The sequence below is a fragment of the Homo sapiens genome, chromosome 13, assembly GCF_000001405.40.
Source record: "Homo sapiens chromosome 13, GRCh38.p14 Primary Assembly".
Classification (NCBI taxonomy): Eukaryota; Metazoa; Chordata; class Mammalia; order Primates; family Hominidae; genus Homo; species Homo sapiens.
The window spans coordinates 76797579-76821790 of record NC_000013.11 but is presented as its reverse complement, the minus strand read 5'-3'; the positions used below and the strand labels follow the sequence as shown (position 1 = coordinate 76821790).

The 24212-nt window shown below is 41.6% G+C and overlaps 2 long non-coding RNA genes across 2 annotated transcripts in view, besides 1 other annotated feature; both read left to right on the top strand.

Moving 5' to 3' along the window:
• The first annotated feature begins 454 nt into the window (after window positions 1–454).
• Window positions 455–6136, top strand: LOC107984587 (uncharacterized). Its single transcript, XR_001749928.2, has 3 exons — window positions 455–487; window positions 4308–4422; window positions 4909–6136. It is a non-coding gene; the product is annotated as an uncharacterized LOC107984587 (long non-coding RNA).
• A 9547-nt stretch (window positions 6137–15683) lies between these two features.
• LOC105370265 (uncharacterized) overlaps window positions 15684–24212 on the top strand; it is a 94000-nt gene continuing 85471 nt past the window's right edge. Inside the window, exon 1 of the long non-coding RNA XR_001749923.2 lies at window positions 15684–15800. This is a non-coding gene — a long non-coding RNA (uncharacterized LOC105370265). The remainder of the gene's footprint in view (window positions 15801–24212) is intronic.
• Window positions 23433–23552: an enhancer, noted in NCBI's record as "active region_7837". NCBI's record gives its function as "activates an Ori minimal core promoter by ATAC-STARR-seq in GM12878 lymphoblastoid cells {active_cell/tissue: GM12878}" and the evidence as "EXISTENCE:reporter gene assay evidence [ECO:0000049][PMID:35858748]".

The window sequence follows — 24212 nt, the reverse complement described above, 5'->3', positions numbered from 1 at the left end:
TATGGGGGCTGGTCTTTCTTATGCTGTTATTGTGATACAAATAAGTCTCATGAGATCTGATGGTATTATAAAGGGGAGTTACCCTGCACAAGCTCTCTTTGCCTGCCACCATCCACTTAAGACGTGACTTGCTCCACCTTGCCTTCTGCCATGATTGTGAGGCCTCCTGCACCACATGGAACTGTGAGTCCAATTAAACCTCTTTCTTTTGTAAATTGCCCAGTCTTGGGTATGTCTTTATCAGCAGCATGAAAATGGACTAATGCACCAGTCCACCACAGCAACATTTTGCCAAAGATTCAATTGGCTTCTGATATGGTTTGGCTGTGTCCCCACCCACATCTCTTCTTGTAGTTCCCACAAATCCCATGTGTTGTGGGAGGGACCAGTGGGAGGTAATTTAATCATGGGAGCAGTTTTGCTCCACACTTCTCCTTGCTGCTGCCATGTAAAGAAGGATGTGTTTGCTTCACCTTCCACCACAATTGTAAGTTTCCTGAGGCCTCCCCAGTCCTATGGAACTGTGAGGCAATTAAACCTCTTTCCTTTGTAAATTACCCGGGTATGTCTTTATTAGCAGTGTGAGAACAGACTAATACAGCTTCGCAGGCTTTCTTTCTCACTTTTTTGTTCTGCCAGAAGACTCTAAAGGGGAGAAAGCCATCTGGATGCATTTACCAAAATAAGTTTACTTTTATTTTGAAACAGAAATCTTAGTCAAAGGAGCAAAAGATCAGGGCCAGTTTCCAAGGTCTAGGAAGCTACAGGGACCTGGACTTTGTGGCCTTTTGTGGGAATTGCTGGCAGAAATGGCTTCTCTAGGACAAAGCTTCTGGGTGGAGTCTGAGAACTTGCTCTAAGCAGACTCCAGGAGGAGCACAATCAGAGAAAGCCCTGGAACCAACCCACCAGCCAAACTGCTGGGCTGGGAGAAGTCAGTAGCGGTGCTGACTTCATCAGGGATCTAGAAGCAGCGAAACAACGCTTAGGCCTTAAGGCGTAAGAATGGAGCATTCCTATTTTTTTCCCCCTCTATCAAATATATTCTTTAAATAATATTTTTTATTGCAATAAAATATACATAAGATAAATTTAGTATTTTAACCCTTTTTAGGTGTACACTTCAGTGGCATTAAATATATTCACATTGTTGTATAACTATCACCAGAACTTTTTCTTCTTCCCAACCTTTCTTTCCTTCGCAAACTGAAACTCTTTATCCATTAAACCTTGACTCCCTATTCCCCTCTCCTTCCATCCCCTGGCAACCACCACTCTGGTTTCTGTTTCAATGGATTTTACTACTCTAGGAACCTCAGTGATATTGTTTGGACGTTTGTACCCTCCAAATTTCTTACTGAAATGTGCTGTTGGAGGTGGGCCTAGGGGGAGGCATTTGGGTCATAGGGGCCGATCCTTCATGAATGGCTTTGTGCTGTTCTTGCGATAATGAGTGAGTTCTCGCTTTATTAGCTCATATGAGATCTGGTTGTTTGAAAGAGACCTGGCACCTCTCCCCAGGTTCTTGCTTTCTCTCTCACTGTGTGACATGCTGGCTCTCCTCTGCCTTCTGCTGTGATTGGAAGCTTTCTGAGGCCCTCACCAGAATGGATATAGGGGCTATGCTTCCTGTACAGCCTGTAGAATCATGAGCCAAATAAACTTCTTTTTTTTGTATAAATTACCCAATCTCAGGTATTCCTTTATAGCAATGTAAATGGACTAACACACTCATATAAGCAGACTTATACAGCATTTGTCCTTTTGTGACTGGTTTAATTCTCTTAGCACAATGCTGTAGCATGTGTTACAATTTCCTTCTTTTAAAGCAGAATGATATTCTTTTGCATGTATATACCACATTTTGTGCATCCATTCATCTGTTGATGGACATTTGGGTTTTTTCCCACCTTTTGGCTATTGTGAATAGTCCTTCTATGGGCATGGGTGTATGTTTATGTGTTGAGTCCATGCTTTCACTTCTTTTGGGTGCTGGATCCTATTGTAATTCTAAATTTAATTTTTTGTGGAACCACCATAGTGTTTCTACACATGATTTTAAATAAACCTTTTTATTATGGAAATTTTAAAAGACTACACATAGTAAAAATAATAAAATGAATTCTCCTGTGCACAACATCAGGTTTCAATAGTTGCTTAGGATAATTATTTGGTGTGTAGGGTGGATCAATTTGTTAATTCAACAAATATTTATTGAGCAGTTAAGTACTGAATGATGCATTTGACATGATTCCTATCAGCTGAGGTGACGCTGGGTGGTGGTGAATCTGCAGCTCCAATGTCCTGCCGTGGCAGCATGACTGACTGATGGTGCCAGCTGGCTTTCTGGGCTTGCCATCATGTTTGTGCCGAGTGCACATTTTCAGTGGGCTATTATCAGCCAATAACTGATCATGTTGCTGGCCCATTCCTGTGAGATGCAGGACTCCTCCAACAGTGACTTTGGCTCAGTGGCTTTTCATTGGCCTGGCTGGATCTTTCTTAGAACTGCTCTGGGGTCTGAGAGTCTACTCAATTTTTCTTTCTTCCCACTCTCCTTTCAAAGGAGTCAGTCCTGTCTCAATTTCCAGTCTGTTTTCACCTTCTCCAGCTTAATCCTTGATCCCATAACCCTTCAAGGTGTTTCTCCCAGTAAAACTTCTGCACATCGAATCCTGTCTGCTTCTTGAAGAGCCTGAACTAACACACCTGAGCTTTGGGATTTAAGTAAGACTACCTTGAGCCTTTTATTACAGACATATTGGGAAACCCAACTACATCACCAAGATTTCTGCAAGTTCTAGAGCGCTGATGTCTTCATTCTGGCTCCAAATTATAAGCCCCCTGAACTCCCACATTCAGTTCTGTCTCATTTCACACAGCCTCTCTCTTCCCTGTCATTCATCTAGACTTCTACATAGAATTCAGCCCTCTTTCCTTGATTTCTTCCCAAACGACTTACCACAAGCCCTTTGTGTGTGTATCAGGCATTACTTCAGTTTTGGGTCCTTTTCACATATTAGAAATGCAGACAGTTTGAACTTAAATATGACTTATTCTTGTTTTCGGTGTCCTTCCTTCATCCACTGCCACTAGGAATTTCCCACTGCATTGCCCATCTGTGAGCTGAAGTTTTTTTTATGTTGCTTGACTACTTTTCCCCATTCAGCCAACTTACTTTTCACTGCTTAACCCACCCTCTAAATTCACGTGTACATCTCATACCAAGGAGTTAGCTTTCTCTTAGCTTCTCTTTTCAGTCAGTCTTTGGAACTTTCCTGCCAAAATTTACCTATCAAGGTATTGCCTAACCAATGACAGTTTCCTAAGTGGTCTCCTGAATGCAATTAAAATAGGTGTTTTTCAGCTGCACTACACATAAACATAGATAAAGACCAAGGTGTAGTAGGTGCTGTGATAGAAATGTCTAGTGGGTAGCATGAAGGAGAGGACATTTGATTTGAAATGGAGGTGGGTGAGGTGAGTGAGCTATGTCATAAGCAGGGAGCCCAGCTGGAACCCTATTTGTTGCAGTCGACTTGAGGGAGGCAGTAGGGTCTGGAGAGGAGTGGAAGTGGAGGTACTGAGGAAGTGCCAATATTAAAAAAAAAAGGCCATTGTTGTCAAAGAGCTAAGGCTTATGTAGCATTTATTACGTGCCTTTCTAAGTGCTTTCCATATAACTCAGTGTGTCCTTCCAACAGAACATATTACTGTGCCCACTTTACAGAGGAGCAGAGTGAGGCACAGACTGTGCGATTAAGCAACTTGTCAAATTTATAGAGCTGATAAGTGGTGGAGTTGGAATTTGGACTTAGGCTGGCTCCAGACCCCATAGTTCTTCCCCACTCCTCTTCCTTTAGCTCTAAGACCATGGGGCAGGACTGGTAATTGTTTGAATGTGGATGTCAGAGAAAAGGAATGGTCAGAGTTCATTATCTTAGAAGTTGGCACACTAACCTTTTCACTTGACCTCAAATGCAGGAATAGAAGCATCGTTACTAATGCGTACTTTATTGTAAAAGATAGCAGTGAATATTTATAGCAAGCCAATACCATTTATGTAAGCAGATGCAGTGAATGATGTGAGTGTTATTTATCTTTTGTAATACCATGTACAGGAAAATGATGGGTATTTCTGAATTTAAGTGTCATACATCTTTTGATGTCCCCATTCCTTACAGCTCATAACCGTTTCCTTTCTGAGTTGTAGTAAAATGTCTTCACTATAAAGTGTCATCCTTCACCTGCAATTAAAACAGAATAAGAATATATGAGTGCAAAAGCACATTTTTATTCTTTTCCAGTTCTCATCGCTATGAGCTTGGAATAAAATAAAAAGAAGAGATGGTTGAAATATGAGTCTATGGATTGATTTCTGTGTCCCCTTTCTAAAGCAAGCCAGAAAGTGTTCATATTAAGGTAAATTTTCATTCTAAAAATGTACAGTTTCTTCAAAGATTGGAAGCCACTGACATACAATTGCACACCATGTAAAGTTAGCTTAAAGTAAAAAGACTTTCAATTTATAAATTTCCTGTGCTATTCCTTTAAAGCCTTATTTATTCTCCCTGAAAGCACTCAGCAAAACATGATTGCAATAAAAAATGAATGTCCTAAATGCAAGCTGGAATCAGGGCAACAGCTATTGGTCTGGGATGTGCAAGATATTGACTAAACGCATAACATAAGCTATTTGTATTCTTTATTCACAATCACTTAAGTCTAATTGCTTTAGAAACTAAAGGTAATTTTTGATTTATGTATACAACCTTCTGAGAGAAGAATTTCTGAGCATTTGAAAAGATACATTTATAGGACTGAGTGCATTCTGGGGAAGTCCCATGCTGGTGTGCAAGTGTCTCCGTAGTTTTTATCTTTATTATTTCCATCATGTTTCATTCTCAGACCATCGGCTATGGATGTTACTATTCAGTGACTGAAGCCCCAAACTATCACCCTGACCCTGCTCAGTGGGCTTGACAATGGGACACAGAGTACACACCAAAGGCAGGGAAGCCAAGACACGTGGCCGGCTCATGTGGTGAGTGGGCTCCCTGCACTGGCTTCTCCAACTTGGAGTCATGCTCAGGACATCATAAGGGAAACCAGTAGTCCCTTGCACCTGCTGTGAAGGTTTTGTTGACTTCTTTCTCCAGCCTGTCAGTTTGGCTCTGAGCTTGGTGAATTATGACTCAGCGATGGTTGGTTCCCTGTGTGGGAAGCAGGCGATGCTTTGGTTTGCTAACAGGTGCTTCTTCCTGAAGCAGTTGCCTCCTGCAGCTTCTGAGCCTCTTCTGCCATGTCATTCAGTGCAGTGGGAGTGAGGAGGCAGTAAACACGTCTATACACTACCAGAGAAAACCAGTACCTAGAGACTCTGCCACTCATGTCTACTAAGTTCTCTACTGCAGCTTGTTGGTCAATCTTCATGAACATTTTCAGTAAAGCACTCTGGATGCTTTTATAGGAAAGAGCCCTGCAGGCCATTATCCAACCATTATTATCGCCATTACCGTCACCATCATCAACATTGTCATCAGCATCATCTTCACTGTAGAAATCAAACATTCATTAAGTAGTTAATTCTGGATGATTTTCTGTTTGATGCTGAATCAAAAATTAAACAGTCTAGGTTCTTTCTGTCAAGGATTATGACTGAAGACAGACACACTTATATGGACATACATTTATAGGTATTACAGAAACAGAAAACCAACCTGATATCAGCTAGTGTGAGTAGCTGATTTAAAAGTGGATTCATGATTGGAGTATCAGGAAGAAAACCTTTAGAAATCCCAAGGAAAAGCATATAACTTGCCTCTCTCTAGTTAGTATTTCAGGGATACAGGACAGTAGTAGGATCTATCTTTGCTGAGTCTTGATGATTAAGAAGAGTATTGCGGGGTGTAGAACTGGAGTTTCTATGTGTCCAGCTTTAGAGGGAGGATGAATGAGCTGATGATTGAGTTTTGGTCAGCTATACTTGAGATGGGTAGAAGGAGTACTACCATGGAAAGAATCCAGGTTAAAGAGTCAGGCCAGGGTCTGAATAACAGCCCCATTACCAGCTGTGAGATCTGAGGCAAATCATGCAATCAGAATTTTTTTCACTTCTTTTTATTCATCTGTAAAATAGGAATAGTAACATCTTGCCTGATGTGTTGAAGTTCCCTAGCATGTACCACAAGGAGTAATTATTATCTTGGTACATAAGAAGGGAGAAGACAAATAACAACATCTGAAGGAACCACATCAAAAACTTCGGTGGCTTGGCAATGAGATATTATCTCACACTACTCAGAGTGCCTATTAATCAGAAGTCAAAAAATAACAGATGTAATTCAGGCTTCGAAGAGAAGGGAATGCTTATACACTGTTGGTGGGAATGTGAATTAGTTCAGCCACTATGGAAGGCAGTTTAGAGATTTCTCAAAGAACTTAATATAGAACTACCATGGGACCCAGCAATCTCATTACTGGATACGTACCCAGAGGAAAGTAAATTGTTCCACCAAGAAGACACGCACACTCCTTTGTTCATCGCAGCACTATTCACAATAGAAAGACATGGAATCAATGGTGCCTATCAATGGTGGATTGGATAAAATTGGTACAGATACACCACAGAATACTATTCAGCCATATAAAAGAGTGAGATCATGTCTTTTTCAGCAACATGGAGGCAGCTGGAGGCCATAATCCTACGTGAATTAACACAGGAATAGAAAACCAAATACTGTATATTCTCACTTAAAAGTGGGAGCTAAACAGTGGGTATTCACAGACATAAAAATGGCAACGATTGGCCGGGCGCGGTGGCTCACACCTGTAATCCCAGCACTCTGGGAGGCCGAGGTAGGTGGATCACGAGTCAGGAGATCAAGACCATCATGGCTAACACGGTGAAACCCTGTCTCTACTAAAAATACAAAAAATTAGCCGGGTGTGGTGGCAGGTGCCTGTAGTCCCAGCTACTCGGGAGGCTGAGGCAGGAGAATGGCGTGAACCCAGGAGGCAGAGCTTGCAGTGAGCCAAGATCACGCCACTGCACTCCAGCCTGGCTGACAGAGCAAGACTCCGTCTCAAAAAAAAAAAAAAAAAAAAAAAAAGGCAATAATAGACACTGGGGACTCCAAAATAGGGGAGGGGACAAAGGGACAAGGTTTAAAAACTACCTATTGAGTACTATATTCGCTATTTGGATGATGGGATGATAGAAATCCAAAGCTCAGCATCATGCAATATACCCCCATAACAACTTGCATGTGTAGCCCCTGAATCTAAAAAAAGAGGAAAAAATGACTGGTGGCTTGGATTCTTCATGAATATGCATGTCCTGAAGGTGGTGTGGCCCCAGGTTAAAATCTAGGCTTTGTCCTGCAAGTAGATCCACAATCTAAAGATGGTAAATTAAAAAACTTCAAAACTCTGTATTAAAATGAATTAATCTGGATTGTTTCTGCCATAGGCACAGAACTCTATGTCCCACTGGTGTTTCAACAGTGGCTGTGGAGGCAGCAGGACAGGGATCTTTGCAGATGTAGGTAACCTTAAAGTGCTCCACACTATATCTCTGCATATTGTCTGCCAGTGCTCAACCACAGCTTCCCTTTTATAAGTTTCCACCTGGTTCCACAGTAGCTGAAGGCTGCCCAGGCTGCAGGAGAGAGGCTCTGGGATCCAGAGGACTTTGCACCAGAGGAGTGAGCTGAGGCTTGTTCCTGCCCCACAGCATTCAGCTGGCACAATGCCATGAGGATGTATCTTCAGAGCAGCCACCAGGTGCCTTGTGAGGAATGTGTGCAGAACAGATGAAAGCTGCACAATTTCTGATTTAGAAATTTAGCCTAAGCTAAAGGTTCTCAAACTTTTCCACCCCAAGATCCTCTGTTCCTCCTTTCTCTTCTCACCCCTCGCACAAGGAGACAGTGAGGAGGAGTAGGCATGGGGTCATTAGGAGACCCGAATTCTAATCCTGGCTCTGTCCTGTGTCATCTTTGGGTCCCCACTACTCCTTCCAAGCTTATGATCTCACCAGCAAACGAAGAAGGCAGAGAGAAGTTCCTCTACATTTTAATGCCTGGGACATAAACTCTAGGGGCAGGTAGAACTCTGGCCCCATGTGGCTCTGCACACAAAGGCCATGGCACCCCATGGTGGCCCACATGCTTGAGTGCATGTGCTCAGATCTGTGCTTTTCTGTTCCTCTGCTCTCCTGACAGCCCCTGAGGCTTTCCATTTTCCACCCACCTTCTGTGTAGAGCAGAGGGTGCAGAGAGAGCTCTCGCTTAGGAAGGAGGTGAGAGGAGTCAGAGTCTGCGGCAGGAACTGGAAACCCTGGGTCGCTTTGGGAGGGTGGGGATGGTGAGGCAGCAGAAAGTTTTACATTCATTTCTATTTGCCTGATGGAAATGAAAACCAGGTCGCTAGGAGCCAGAGGCCATCCAATAAACATTGTTTCTGGGACAGGAATTGGGGTGCTTTACTTCCAGAAAATTCCACTACTCTGCTTCAGGACTCTTGCATGAAATCTTTCAACACAGCATGGTTGGCTCAAAGCTTGGCATGGTTCCTTAGCCAGTGGCCTTCCTGTAGGGCTGATCAGGCTGCCAAAAGTGGCTCATTGTGTTTTGGGACAGTGGGGCTTAGTGGAACCTATGATCTCATTCTCACACTTTCCTCTTCACAGTCCACATTGGAACAATAAATCTCATACCCAAGATGGGGCTAAAGAGGCTGAAATGAGAGCTGGGTCAACACATGGAAAATGAAGTAATGGATTAGGAAAATTGTTATAAGAAAAACTGCATCAATGTAGCACCTTTGTTATCTGTATTTCCCAGATGAAACCTCCAGAATGACTTGATTTCTTGCATACAGATACATCTAAGGCAATGAGATTTCGTGGTCCATTGTATACTCTGCCTGGTGCCTAGTGATATATGTTCAATGGAGGTAAAAGTGCAGAATATGCTCAGTAAAATTTTTTATGGTTTCTTAGAAATGACTGCCATCCTTAGCACTTGGCATGTGAAGCAGCAGATGGAGTCACAACATCCCCAGGGGAGTAAGGACATGTGCAGATATTTCTTTCTTACTCCAGTGCATTTATTACTGAGACACAGGGAGGATTATGGAATATGATACCTTTGCTCATCACTGCTCAAGACTAAATTCAGCCAAATTTGCTCCTGTTAGAGAAGTGAACTTAGATGGTTCCTTTAATGAGGCAAGAAGGGGAAATTCCAATTTTCTTTCCGAGCTCAATGCAGCCTGTCCCAAGGGCTGAGGGTCCGGATGCTGAGCTGGGCACTGACTTGGATTTGGAAGGAGCAGTGTCAGCAGATCTGGAGGCTCAGCCCTAGATTGGAAACAGATGCCATAAAAGCAGAACAGAATCCATTCTGAACAAGCCCTTGGCTGCCGCCACAGCTCACATGGCCACCATCTGCTACAGTAATGTCCCCACCATGACACACTCCCTGCTTCTTCTGATAACCTTCCCATGTGAGTACTGCTGCCTGACTTGGGAGGTTGTAAGCTGTAAGTAATGGCTTTAGCTCCTCAGCTTAAGCCAAGAGCAGAATTCTCTAGGATTGGTCCTAGCAAAGAGAGAAGTAGGCTGTTGCCTTCATCTGCCTTTATCTTCTTCTCCCTTCTCTCTTGTGTCAATTCTCTCTTCTCAATCATTATCCCCTCCCCAGGCATCTGGTGCACTCTTGCCTCACCAGTTGCATCTGTGACCAGGTTGAAGCAATGAACTTCTAACTCCCAATGCAGTAGAATTTACAGTTTGAAGAAAGCCACAGGAAGAAAGCAATGCTTATCCCAGTGAACTGATTTTTAAAGGCTGGCTTAGCAGGTGCTCAGCATTGCCTGCTCCTGGGATAGTGAAATCCTTTTGATCAAGGTGGCCTCTAGAGTGCCTATTCTTCAAACCAGACCATCTGTGTCATTTGCTGTGCATTTGTGGCACTGACACAAATTAATTTCTAATCCTGCCCTCAGAGTAGTAGCACTCAAGTACTGGTGCTGTTGGCACATAGCAGGCTGCACTGGGGACAATTTCTTCAAATATTTTGGTACAATTTAATTTGGCCTCTATTTTTAACATAAGGTTCAGACCTTGTACTAACTGTAGGGTATTGGGTGTCTTAGTTCAAGCTGCTATAATGGAATATCATAGTCTGGGTGGTTTAGACAGCAGACATGTATTTCTCACAGTTCTAGAGGCTGGGAAGTCCAAGATCAAGGTGTTGGCTGATTTGGTTTCTGGTTAGGGATCTTTTCCTGGACTGCAGATGGCTGACATCTTTCTGTGTCCTCACATAGCAGAGAGGAAGAGGGAGAGAAGGGGAGGGAGTGGGGAGAGAGGGAGACAGAGAGAGAGAGAGAGAGACAGATTGAGAGGAGAGAGTGAGAGAGCATGAAAGTGCTCCAGTCTCTTTATATAAGGGCATTAATCTTACACAAGGACCAGCCCCCCTCTCATTACCTCTTCTAAATTTAATTATCTTCCAAAGGTTCTACCTTGAAATACCATCATACTGGGGCTTAAGAATTCAACACATAAATTCTTGGGGTGGGTGGGGGGGACAAAATCATTCAGCCCATAACATTGAACAAATCACTTAATTTCTCTGTACCTCCCTTTGTCATCTGTAAAATGCAGATTATGCTAGGATCTACTTACAGTGTGGTTTTAAGGATTGAGTGAGATGGTATATGCACAATGCTTAGAATTTGGTAAAGGCTCAGTCACTGGTAGGTCTTCTCTTTCCCCTTTCTTCTTAGCAAGAGTTTTTGGTACTATGGCATGTCTGCTCTAGTGTCTTAGAATCATGAAAACATAGAGCTAAAAGGAACTCTACAAATGATTTCATCTAGTTCTTTTACTTTTCATATAATGAACAGAGGGTGAAAATGTGCAAAAAAAAAAAAAAAGTTTCCCAGTGCTTTAGTGGATGAACAGAGTCAAGAACCTTAGTGTTCTGAAGTCAAGTCTATTGTTCTTTCAACAATCTCATTGTGTCTCAAGTACTAATTGGTATTTTAGTTACAAATCTGCCATTCCAGACTTTTCCTTTGGCAAGAAATTTGTGCTTAGAAAGTCAACTTAGTAATAAGATTTTTTTTTCTTAGTTAAAAGTAGAATATCTAAACATTTGGGGATGAGACCATCAAATGAATGACATTTGCTTCAAAAACAGACAAAATATATTCTTCTCTGGGGGAAAAATAACACTAACTTTTATAGGCAAAGGTGACTTGAATAAAAATATCCCATGGCCCTTGAGCTCAGATATCAGGAAGTGTATCAGTCCATTCTCACACTACTATAAAGAACTACCTGAGACTGGGTAATTTATAAAGAAAAGAGGTTTAATTGACTCACAGTTCCATAGGCTGTACAGTAGTCATGTCTGGGGAGGCCTCAGGAAACTTAAAATCATGGCAGAAGGTAAAGAGGAAGCAAGCACATCTTCACATGGCAATAGGAGAGAGAGAGAGTGAAGAGGGAAGTGCCACACACTTTTAAACCATTAGATCTTGTGAGAACTCACTATCACAAGAATAGCAAGGGGGAATATGATACAATCACCTCCCACCAGGTTCCTCCTCTAACATTGGGAATAAAATTCAGCATGAGATTTGGGTGGGGACACAGAGCCAAACCATATCAGGATGATTCATCTTAGAAATAAGGCATTTCACATGCAATTAACAGGCAACTCAAGAACATTGTTTAAGCCTATTAATATTATGAAGAGTGAGAAAAAATGGTACATTCAGGCATGGGTGGAGAAGTAAAGGACAGATAAGTGTGGGATGAAGGAAAACAAAAGACAGAAAGGTCAAAGTTGGCCTTGTCCATTCAAGCTGTCTCCCAAGAGGGGGAAAGACCCACATCTTCAATAGCTTGATGCATTGACTCCTAGAGACAGGCATGTTCCTACTGTGGAAATGAATGAACTGAAAGTCAGGTAATCCCAGTCTTGCAATTAACAATGTTGCCAGGCTCACAAAGTGGACTTCTGCTGTCATATGTATTTCCACATTGTACTCATATCCAGAGAGACTGGGCTGGCTATAGAAACACATGAGGATCTTGGATACTTGCATAGATTGATGTAGATGAATATGTTGGCTTTCTTGTTTACTCCTCAATCTCTATTGACTTTAAATTCCCAAGAGATGAATCCACCCATGGATGCTGACCACATCAAATATCAGAGCCTACAAAAGGAAGGACTTAGCCTTGTCTCAGGGAGAATAAGCCTGGAAGCCCTCCTGGTGACACTTCTAACTTAACCACACCTTCTTTTAAACTCCTTTAGATCTAATCAGGGCAATTATTTATATACGGAGTATTGAACTACATTTCCTTCAGCTATGTCAATGCTTAATTTTGACCTATTTTTCTTATCTAGGCTCTTGCTCTGCCTTCTCCTCCCAATTCCTGTTTTTCATTTCAAAGGCTACTTATGAGTCTACTCATTGTTGAAACAATCTTGAGAAAGTGAAATGTGACTTATCACCCACTGGCCATACTTGACGTATGCTATAGTCTTGTTTCAGATGAAATGTTTTATTACCATATTTTCTAAGAAATGAATCATTTCTGGGTGTGTTTCCAAGAAACAATCAATTTAATAATAAATATATGTGTCTTTGTGTAATGTGTAATATAAAAATATTTGTCTTAACAATAATATTTGACTTTATGGTCATGCCTTAAGCAGGGAAGAATGTGACACAGGATTTCCCACCAGATGAAGGGAAAGGATCAAAAACACGACTGCCAATGAAAAAGGTGCCTTTTGTAACAAGAAAACAACAATAATAGTATCTCTCCATATATGTATATCACTTCACATCTGTTATGTACAGGCTCTTTTACATCATCTGCAGTGTTTTCAGAAGCATAACTGCCCAGTGCAATGCTGTAGTGAAAAACAGTGTAGTAAGCCCACGGTCTCCACGGTGGGCACCTCAGAATGAAGGTGCATATCAGTCAAGGTAGATTCACTAGAGACAGCTATGTTCCTGGTGAAGAGATGAGTGGACTGAAAGTCATGTAATCCTAATCCTGCAACTAACAATGTTGCCAGGATCACAAAATGGACTTTGGCTCTCAGTATGTATTTCCATGTTGTACTCATAGCCAGAAAGACTGGCCTGGCCATGGGAGAAACATAAAAGGGTCCTGGATACTTACGTGGATTGATGTAGATGAATACATATAGATGAATATGTATATGAATATGAATATGTATATTCATATAAATATGTATATGAATATGAATATGGTATTAGGCCCTTCTTGCATTGCTATTAAAAACACTTGGGACTAGGTAATTTATATTGAAAGGAGGTTTAACTGGCTCACAGTTCTGCAGATTGTACAGGAGCATGGCGCTGGCATCTGCTGAGCTTCTGGGGAGGCCTCAGGAAGCTTATAATCATGGCAGAAAGCGAAATGGAAGCAGCATCTCACATGGTGAAAGCAGGAGCAAGAGAGAAGTAGGGGGAAGGTGTCACACTTTTAAACAACAAGATCTTGTGAGAACTCACTCACTGTCCTGAGAATAGCACCAAGCCATGAGGGATTTGCCCCCATGACCCAAACACCTCCCACCAGGCTCCACCTCCAACACTGGGGATTATATTTCAACATGAGATTTGGTGGGGACACACATCCAAACCATATCACTGCTGTAACACAAAATTTGAGTAAAGAATGTATAATGGCTTAAACACAATAGAATTTTATTTCTTGCTTGTGGAACATCCTAAAGAGTGTTTTTTGTTTGTTTGTTTTTTAGATTAGAGCTTCCTGGTGACGATTTAGGGACCTAGGCTCTTTCCGTCTTGTGGCTCTGTCATCTTTGCCATGTGGCTTCCAAAGTGGTTATGTTTGTTGCACCAGGCTGGCAGATGGGAAAAAAGCAAGAATTACCATGCATGGAAGTTTCATGGGCCAGACCTGAGAGTGGTGCACACTCCTCACAATCCATCTGTTGGAATTCAGTCTCATGGCCGTACCTCACCACGAGAGAGCTGGAAATTGAGGTCTAGCTGTGTGTCCAGGAAAGAAGAGAGAAGGCTACCAGTCTCTGCCACTTAAAAGGAGGCTGAAAAATACTGAAAAGCATAATTAAATTGGCAGCACCAGGGCATCCTGCCAAAGGGAACATGTTATTTTGCTTATAGCATCAGTGGAGAGGCCTGGAAGTTCTGACTGTTATACTTTTTGGAGAGAAGTAGAAAGCAAGTTTCTGAAGGAGAGATGTGAAGTTTAGGGCAGAAAAGAGAAATTCAGCCCCATTTACATTTCTAGAATCCTCCTCTCAACTATAAACATATGAGGCTCTTAATTGACATTTAGTTCATGATATTTCTGCATCTGACCCAGCTTCCTACCAGGGCATGGGGAATTATCTTATTAAAGAGCTTTGCTGTGGGCTGTGGAGAGAAGTGGAAGGCCATTGCGTCCTGGGATTCTATTTTTTGACCTGATGTTCACTTGGCCTTCAGGATCAGAGGCAGAGGGCTCTCTAGTCAGCAGGTTTCTAATAGGGTGCAGAGGGATGAAGTTGATCATTGGAGCAAAAGAACACATGGCTTTTTCTTGTTTCCCAAATCTCTGTTCTTTCCCTCATTTCCCTTCACTGAACATGACTTTTTTCTCTGGGAAAATATTTGGGCAGATCCCTTACCTTGTTGCTTCCCCCATCATCTTCCAAGTTATGCAAAATGTCATCTATAGACATGTTGTATGGAAGTTCGAGGAGAAGAGTCACAGGGCCAGCCCCCAGGCACAACTGCAAAGGAGGTGACATGATTTGGGCACGTTTGCCTTTTCCTTCAGTAGGTGTCTTCCCAGACAGATATGTCTCCTGAGCTTATTTCTAGTGTTCTTGGTTGGAAAAATACCTGAGTAAGTGAATTTTTATAAAATATTAGCTGTTGTGTGGGAGTAGCAGTGGGTATTGGCATTATATCAGACAGCTCTTCACACATCTTCAGAACAGGTCCCCATTGACAGAATTTCTGGCTCTGTGGCAACTGTTGGGGGTTATATCCTGGGCAAAAATATTTTCATTGTTCTCAAAAAGCTATAGACAGCTTCATAATTCTTGAGATCAGTCTTCTTGGTGAAGTCGGTTGATTTCATCCCAGTCCTGAATGGGATTCATTTTCCCATATACATGGAACGAATCACTGGGTAGATTAAAAACAGTTCTCTGCTACTCTGAATAATTTTCTTTATAGGTTTGAAATTCTCATCTTTAGACATGTACCGAGTTAAGCAATTGTAAATGTTGGAGGTATTATTTAGCGGGAGTGGTGCTGGAGTTGGGGCATTTGGTCTATACTTAGTGTAGCCAGGCACGGTGGCTCATGCCTGTAATCCCAGCACTTTGGGAGGCCAAAGCAGGAGGACAGCTTGAGCCCAAGAGTTCGAGACCAGCCTGGGCAACATGGCGAAACCCTGTCTCCACCAAAAATACAAAAATTAGCTGGGATGGTGGTGAGTGCCTCTAGTCCTAGCTACTTGGGAGGCTGAGGTGGGAGGATGGTTTGAGCCCAGGAGGTGGAGGTTGCAGTGAGCCGAGATTGCACCACTGCACTCCAGCCTAGGCAACAGAGACATACCCTGTCTCAAAACAAAACAAAGCAAAAAAGTGTAGCTCAAACAAACAGAAGAAGTTTTTAACATTTTCATGTTCTAGGTATCAACAGATTTGACAGCAACACTGGAAGAGATTGAAAGTCTCAGAACAGCATAACAAGTAAGCCACAATTACTTTGCATTTCCCATCACAGTATAGCAGTGCTTGACAGTGTCCATTAAAGTCTTCTCTGTTTCCACACTTCTCACTAGTTTGCCCCAGTGGTGTCCATTTTGAGTAGACCTATTGACTTCTTTGAACTCATCCTTTTATATACTCACAAGACAAAATTTTTGTGTGTTCTGGTGAACAGACAGTCTTTCTTTGGATTCAGATAAATTATTTTCCTCACCTCTTATTCATAGCAAATTGTACTCTACTCTGTAAAATTTAAATCAAAATATGGCAGCACACCCAGCAAGTCCCATGGCTGGGTGTGGCCATCACTGACTGAGAACCAATGTGAGTACCTCTCTACACCTGCTAGTTTATATGAATAACTCTTAGGGAATAAGGACTTGAGGAAGTGTTTATAAAAGTACTAGAGTATGAGGAACTTCTACAAAGGCCTGAATATGCAAAGATAAACACTGACTATCTAGGTGGTAGCACGAGGCTATTTTGTTATTATAGAGGGTCCTGTGGCTTGAATTGTGTCTCCCAGAAAGACAGGTTGAAGTCTTCACCCAATACCTGTGAATATAACCTTGTTTAAAAATTAGGCTTCTGTAGATGTAATCAAATTAAAAGGAGGTCACCCTGGATTATGGTGGGCCCTAATTTAATGACTGCTGTCCTTACACAAAGAGGTAAATTTGGATACAGGAATACAGAGACAGACGATGGAAACAGAGATTGGGGTGATGTCACTGCACGCTAAGAACGGCAAGGTTTGCCAACAACCACCAGAAGCTAGAAGGGAGGCCTGGAATGAATGCTCCCTCAGAGCCTCCAGAAGGAACCAACCCTGCCAACACCTTGATTTTGGATGTGTAGGCTCTGGAGCGGTGAGAGAAAAAATTTCTGTTGTTTTAAGCCACCCAGTTTGTGGCACTTTGTTGTGACAGTGCTAGAAGGATGGTGATGTTGCAATTGGGCTTTTTCTCCATCGTCGTAGCCTATGTTTCAGTTTTGCCTTGTGTGGGTATCATGGAAACCCTGGAAATGTCTACTGATGGGGAAGTTACTTTGGTATAATATTGCTCCCATTTGGAGCCGAGAGAATTGCTCTCTTTGTCTCTCTCTGTCTCTGCCTCTGTCTCTCTCATCCTTCCCTCTTTCTCCTGGCATCTCAAAAGCTCACTAGTTTGTAAAAGCACCACAGTGATACCTAATATTTTCTTTAAAAATGTGTATTGATGCTGGGCACGGTGGCTCACGCCTGTAATCCCAGCACTTCGGGAGACCGAGGCGGGCTGATCACCTGAGGTCAGGAGTTCAAGACCGGCCTGGCAACATGGTGAAACCCCGTCTCTACTAAAAATACAAAAATTAACTGGGTGTAGTGGTGGGTGCCTGTAATCCCAGCTACTGTGGAGGCTGAGGCAGGAGAATCTCTTGAAACCAGGAGGGGCGGAGGTTGCAGTGAGCCGAGATTGCACCATTGCACTCCAGCCTGGACACCAAGAGCAAAACTCCGTCTAAAAAAACCAAATATATATATACATATATATGTATATGTATATATGTATATGTATATATATGTATATATGTATATGTATATATATGTATATGTGTATATATATGTATATGTATATATATGTATATGTGTATATATATATGTATATATATTGACAGGGGCCTATGTTTTTCTTTTTCATTTTCAAATGCTGACGTTTTCAGTGAGGCCTTTCTTGTCAATACTGCAGGGCTTCAATCAAACAGCACTTGAAGTCTTTTCAAAAACCTGCAAGATTGAAAAAGATTTTAGCCTGTTAGAAAGGGGAATAATAGGTTTCATACACCCTCCACATTCCTATAAATATCTCCTCTTCCCTTGCTGTTAAGAACTCTGAAAGCGATGTGGAGGGTGTGGCAGCACAGGGCAGCATGAAGGGGAAGAGGAACTAGCATTTTGTGGGTTCTGCTGATGTACTGATTATCCCAGAACAGTCAGTTGAATCCAAGGAGCCTGTTAACACCATTCCAGCAGTCCTACAGCTGCCTTTGATATTTAGAATTGAGGAGGTTGAGAAAACCCAGTCCAATTAAACACATGGTATTTTAATCAAATAAGGATTAAAAGCAAGCAAAGACAAAAATAGTACCTTTACTGATTTCTGGGAGGAAATTAAATCAGACTTACTGCACAGGGAGAGAAATGATATTATAAGTTTATAAAAGAGGAGACCTTAAATTCTGCAACATTAAGTTAATGCTCCTGTATCAACTAAGCAAAGAAATTCCTTCGTTGTTGGGTGATATGCGGAAATCAGGATAGTTAGAAGCTATTAAAAAAGATCACAAAAAATGAGCAATAAAATATTGCCAGCAATTTGAACATAATACACTATGTACATATTGAAGAGTAGATAAAATATTCTTGCTGCATAGAATATAAAATTCTTCAACGTGGAGAGATGATTCACTCATCTGCTATTGGAATTCTTGCTGAACAACCCTGTTGCCAATTTCAATCGATATTCCATTGAAGGTATTACCACATTTCAGAATACACCAACAGGTCTGGAGATGTTATAAATATATATCAAGTGTAGGGATCTCAAGTGTAGAGGGGTCTGGCTTATGACACAAAACAAGTTGGAAAGGAAAAGGGGAATTTATAATCATCCAGCCTAGGTCATTTTAAGACTTGCAAATCTAAACTAAAAACTGTTAGATTTTATGTTTGATGAGTACATCTTTTGTCTTAATTTTGCTTAGAGAAGGAGTAAGTTGTTATTTAGCTATATTTATGGATAAACATTTTGATTAAATTCAATAGCAATAGGCTGGGTGTGGTGGCTCACACATGTAATCCTAGCACTTTGAGAGACTGAGGCATGAGGATCACCTGAGCCTGGGGAGGTCAACGGTGTAGTGAGCCAGGATTGTGCCACTGCACTCCAGCCTGGGCAACAAATTTCAGAACACACCACCAAGTCTGGAGATTATGTGTGTGTGTGTGTGTGTGTTTGTGTGGTGTGTATTATATATATATGTATGTGTATATAAAAATGTATGTGTGTGTATATATATGTGTGTGCATATGTGTATATATATATGTTTGCTGCCATTCTCCCCATAATAAAATCCTGAATTTTCTTCTTTTTTAAAAAAATTATAATTGCCCCTCTATCTCTACTACCTCTGCTGTGCTCTGGGTCTTGACCAGCTTTCATCTGGACTTGTGAAACTTCCTTCTCTGTGTCCCCTTTGTCATTCACAAAAGCTTGTGAAATGTCTTAAAATGATGTCTTCTCAGCTCTTGCCATTTCCCTGGAGAGAGCTCCTGGCAACCTTTCTGCCTGAAAATTCAACTTCCCTGGATCCTATTTACTCACTGATTAAGAGAATGCATCTTCCCATATATAGTAATTGCCCAGAGTGCAAATACTGATGTGTTCTTACTCAGGGTTTATTTCATAAGTAACAGTAACAGTCAGGGTCCATGGGTTGTAGGCAACAGAAACTGACTTTGGGTAATGATATGGTTTTGCTGTGTCCCCACCCAAATCTCATCTTAAATTGTAGTTCCAGTAATCTCCAGGTGTCGTGGGAAGAACCAGGTGGAGATAATTGAAACATGGGGGTGGTTTCCTCTATCCTGTTTTCATGATAGTGAGTTAGTTCTCACGAGATCTGATGGTTTTATAAAGGGCTTCTCACTTCACTGAGCACTCATTCACCTTCCTGTCACCATACGAAGAAGGACATGTTTGCTTCCCCTTCCACTATGATTGTAAGTTTCCTGAGGCCTTCCTCAGCCATGCTGAACTGTGAGTCAATTAAGCCTCTTTCCTTTATAAATTACCCCGTCTTGGGTATGTCTTTATTAGCAGTGTGAGAATGGACTAATACAGGTAATTTAAGAAGAAGGGAATCTCCTGGGAGGTAGGCACTTGGATTTATTGTTGCAGCAAGACTATTTAATTAAAAAATGTAATTCTCCAAAAGACATTTGTGTCCTATAGGAAGGAGAAGTGGGTGCTGAGTTGTCAAAATATTAAACACAAATATACACAACTATTACAAGAATACTTACATATTTTTATTTGATTTATAGATATTAGATTGGTGCAAGAGTAATTGTGATTTTTTCCATTAAAAGTAATGGCAAACTCCAGTTACTTTTGCACCAACCAATACATTTGTGTGTATACACATATCTATGCCATTTTTTTTCTTCTGAGACAGAGTCTGGCTCTGTTGCGCAGGATGGAGTTCAGTGGCATGATCTCGGCTCACTGCAGCCTCCACCTCCCAGGTTCCAGTGATTCTCCTGCCTCAGCCTCCTGAGTAGCTGGGACCACAGGCACCACCATGCCTGGCTAATTTTATATTTTTAGTAAAGACAGGGTTTCACCATGTTGGCCAGGATGGTCTCGATCTCCTGACCTCGTGATCCACCTGTCTTTGCCTCCCAAAGTGCTGGGATTACAGGCATGAGCCACCGTGCCTAGCCTAAGCCATTTTTAAAATACTATCTTGCCATGATAGTGCTGAATACCTCATGATCAAAGTCTTAGATTTGATATGGATTTTGAAGGGCATGAAACACTTATTTGAAGATTATTTTGTGGAGATAATTTTCTCTAAATGGAATGATTTCCTTTTTAGGATCTAGCTTGGAAGGAACGAGGGTAATGCTCTGAATCAAAAACACATCTGTTGATTTATGGAGTGCTTCACTAGTGACTTGGACATAAACAGATCATTAATTTCATAATGATTGAAAAGGTGGATGAAAATGCATAGAGAGAGAAAGTGAGAGGGGGTTGAAATTACAGCTCTCACCACAAAAATCATAACTATAAGGCGATGTACATGCTAATCAGCTGGATTTAACCACTCCACAGTGTATATATACACTTCATCATGTTGTATGTCATAAATACATACAACTTAATTAAAAATAACTTTGGAAAAAAATTACAGCAGGATCACTGGTCTTTGGACATATTCAGGGAAGGGATCTCAAGTGTAGAGGGGGCTGGCTTATGATACAAAACAGGAAGTTGGAAAGGAAAAGGGGAATGAATTTGTAATCTAAACTAAAAACTGTCAGGTTTTATGCTTGATGAGTATATCTTTTGTCTTAATTTTGTTTAGAGAAGGAGTAAGTTGTTATTTAGTTATATTTATGGATAAACATTTTGATCAAATTCAATAGAAATAGGCTGGGCGTGGGGGCTCATGTCTGTAATCCCAGTACTTTGGGAGGCCCAGGAAGGAGGATCGCTTGAGCCCAGAAATTCAAGACCAGCCTGGACAACATGGCAAAACCCTGTCTCTACAAAAAAAATACAAAAATTAGTCAGGTGTGGTGGCCTGCGCCTGTAGTCCTAGCTACTTGGGAGGCTGATGTGGGAGGATCACCTGAGCCTGAGGAGGTCGAGGCTGCAGTGAGCCAGGATCGTGCCACTGCACGCCAGCTGGGGCAAAAGAGTGGAACTCTGTCTCGAAAACAAAAAAACAAAACAGCAAAAAAACCCAAATTCCATAGAATTTGGTTTTTATTTTTATTTAATTAAAAAGTGGGATCATCACATTTTAAGTCGATATACAAGTACACTTAAGAGGCCTGCCTTTTTTTTTTTTCAAGAAGTGAGTATTGTTAAATATGTCCTAGTAATTTAACAAACACTGATGTTTATGATTAAAAAAACCCTCTTATGTTTCTATGTTTTGAATTTTGATTTTTTTTGTTAGTGGCTTGATCTGTTATTACTGATATACATTCTCTGTGAACTACGTTTGCTTTTAGTATAAGAGTGGACATTTCAAAGCTACTAGTAGCGTTAAATATTATTTAAGTGGATAAGCAAAAAGAAGTTTACTTTGTGTAATTTCCTCTTAAATTCAATGAAGTTGTGGCTTTATTTTATTTTATTTTTTACAATTCTCTCACGATAGTGTTCAGCTGAAGTTAGTCTCTGTTTTCCTCAGTTGTCCAATGGTGAATATTACTTTATCACCTCCAAGGCTGACTGTGTATGTAAGAATCACAAGATGGTCTACTCTCAGCTGTTGTCTTAGTGATACGGGGCTTTATGAGCTTGCCAATCATTTAACAACTAAAGCAGGAAGTGAATAGTAATGTGTTTGGTCTCCAAGGTGAAAAGTCAACAGACTCCACATTACTGTAATTTTCTTAATGACTGAATCTTTAGCCATAGCATTAACATACGTTGTGTAGTCTTTTTGTTTGTTTTTTTGAGAAGGAGTTTCACTCTTGTTGCCCAGCCTGGAGTGCAGTGGAGCAATCTCTGCTCACTGCAACCTCTGCCTCCCGGGTTCAAGTGATTCTCCTGCCTCAGCCTTCCAAGTAGCTGGAATTACAGGCATGTGCTACCATGCCTGGCTAATTTTTGTATTTTTAGTAAAGACGGGGTTTCAGCATGTTGGTCAGGCTGGTCTCAAACTCCTGACCTCAGGTGATCCACCCTCCTCGGCCTCCCAAAGTGCTGGGATTAACGGTGTGAGCCACCGCACCTGGCATTTTTTTTTTTTTGAGATGGAGTTTTGTTCTTTTGCCAAGGCTGGAGTGCAGTCGTGTGATCTCAGCTCACTGCAACCTTTGCCTCCTGGGTTCAAGTGATTCTCCTGCCTCAGCCTCCCGAGTAGCTGGGATAATTATAGGCACCTGCCACCATGCCCGACTAATTTTTGTATTTTTTAGTAGAGATGGGGTTTCACCATGTTGGTCAGGCTGGTCTCGAACTCCTGACCTCAGGTGATCCACCCGCCTCAGCCTCCCAAAGTGCTGGGATTACAGGTGTGAGCCATCACACCTGGCCCTGCTGTGTAGTTTTGAAAGCAGCAGTGCATAAATAGAAATGTGGACTTTTCAAACAAAATCTTAATCAAGGAACTTTAATGTAGGGATAATAGCTCTCTGGGAACTGGATGTGGTCTGGTGGAGAAACTGCTGGACCAGAAAGTGGACTTAATCATGGGAGAGAGCTTGTGTTAGAAAGAGATAAGCTAGGATGTTTTACCTTGGATAAAGTGGGCAGGGCTTCTCTCTCTGCGTTTTCTGCCACGTTCCCACTCCCTCTGCTCCCTCTTACTCCTCGCAAGTCCCTTAGAAGCCTCTGTCTATGGGGGTGGTTGCTAAAGCTGGGCTTAAAGGCTTTTCTTCTATTATTCTTACAGAATCTCCCTGGAGTAGGCTAATATTATCACCATTTTATAGATGAAGGAACATATGTCACTAGCCCACAATTATAAAGAAAATGGCAAAGCAGAGATTAGAAAATTGTTCTGTGCTTAGTTACCTAAAAAAGGCTCTTGATATTCATGTGATTAATCCCAGAGTAAGTGGTATGAAGGTTCAGAAATATCTGGAAAATTTCAGAAGCAAAACTGTCCCCCTACCTCCATGCATTTTTTTCCCTTTCTTTTTTTCTAAAAAAATTTCAGCGGGAAACTTCCCCATGCTTTCAAAAAACAAGAAAGAAAAAATTTTCTCCCTTTTTCCCATCAAACATTTTAAAAATAGGTTTTTATACCTCAACCCAGAGAAAGTGGAAAATTGGTTATTATTTCAAGATCCAGTATTTCGAGGGTCCTGTACACACACTTAAAACAGTATCTGGAGTCAGGGTTCTGCAGCAAGAAGAAGAAGGAGGTGTGGCCACCAGCAGATGCTAAGTGAACCCTGTGGTGTTCATGTGTCATCAGCAGCATATAATGGCCTCTCACTACCACAGTTCTCTGAGGCCATGAGGAAGGTTGGTTGCCGGGCAGTGCCCTGGTGCTGTGTCATTTAGGACATATGTTTGCAGCCATCTTAGGAAATTTCTTCCTCTCTCACTGTTTCTTCTGCTTATATCACTTGTCAAAATCTAAGGCAAGTAAAAGCAGAAGTTAACTTTATGGCCAGGCATGGTGGCTCACACCTGTAATCCAAGCACTTTGGGAGGCCAAGGCAGGAGGATCAATTGAGCCCAGGAGTTGGAGACCAGCCTGGACAACATAGGGAGATCCCATCTCTACCCCCTCCACCCACCACAAAAAAAAAAAAAAAAAAAAAAAAAAAAGACAGGCAAGGTTGCATGTGCCTGTAGTCCCAGCTACTGGGGACAGGTGTGTGGGGGTGGCACTGAGCCTGGGAGGTTCAGGCTTCAAGGAGCTGTGTTTGTGCCACAGCACTCTAGCCTGTGTGACTGAGCCAGTCCCTGTCTCAAAAACCGAAGCAAAACAAAAAGTAGTTAACTTTTGTAATATTAGACCTCACAAATGAGGGGCTGTGACAAACGCTGAAGAATGTAGTATACTGAATCAATTGTTGATTTATTTCTTATCTTAACTCTATCTGGCACTTAGGTGAGCTTCATCACGTCACAAGTCTCCAAGCCTCAGTGACCT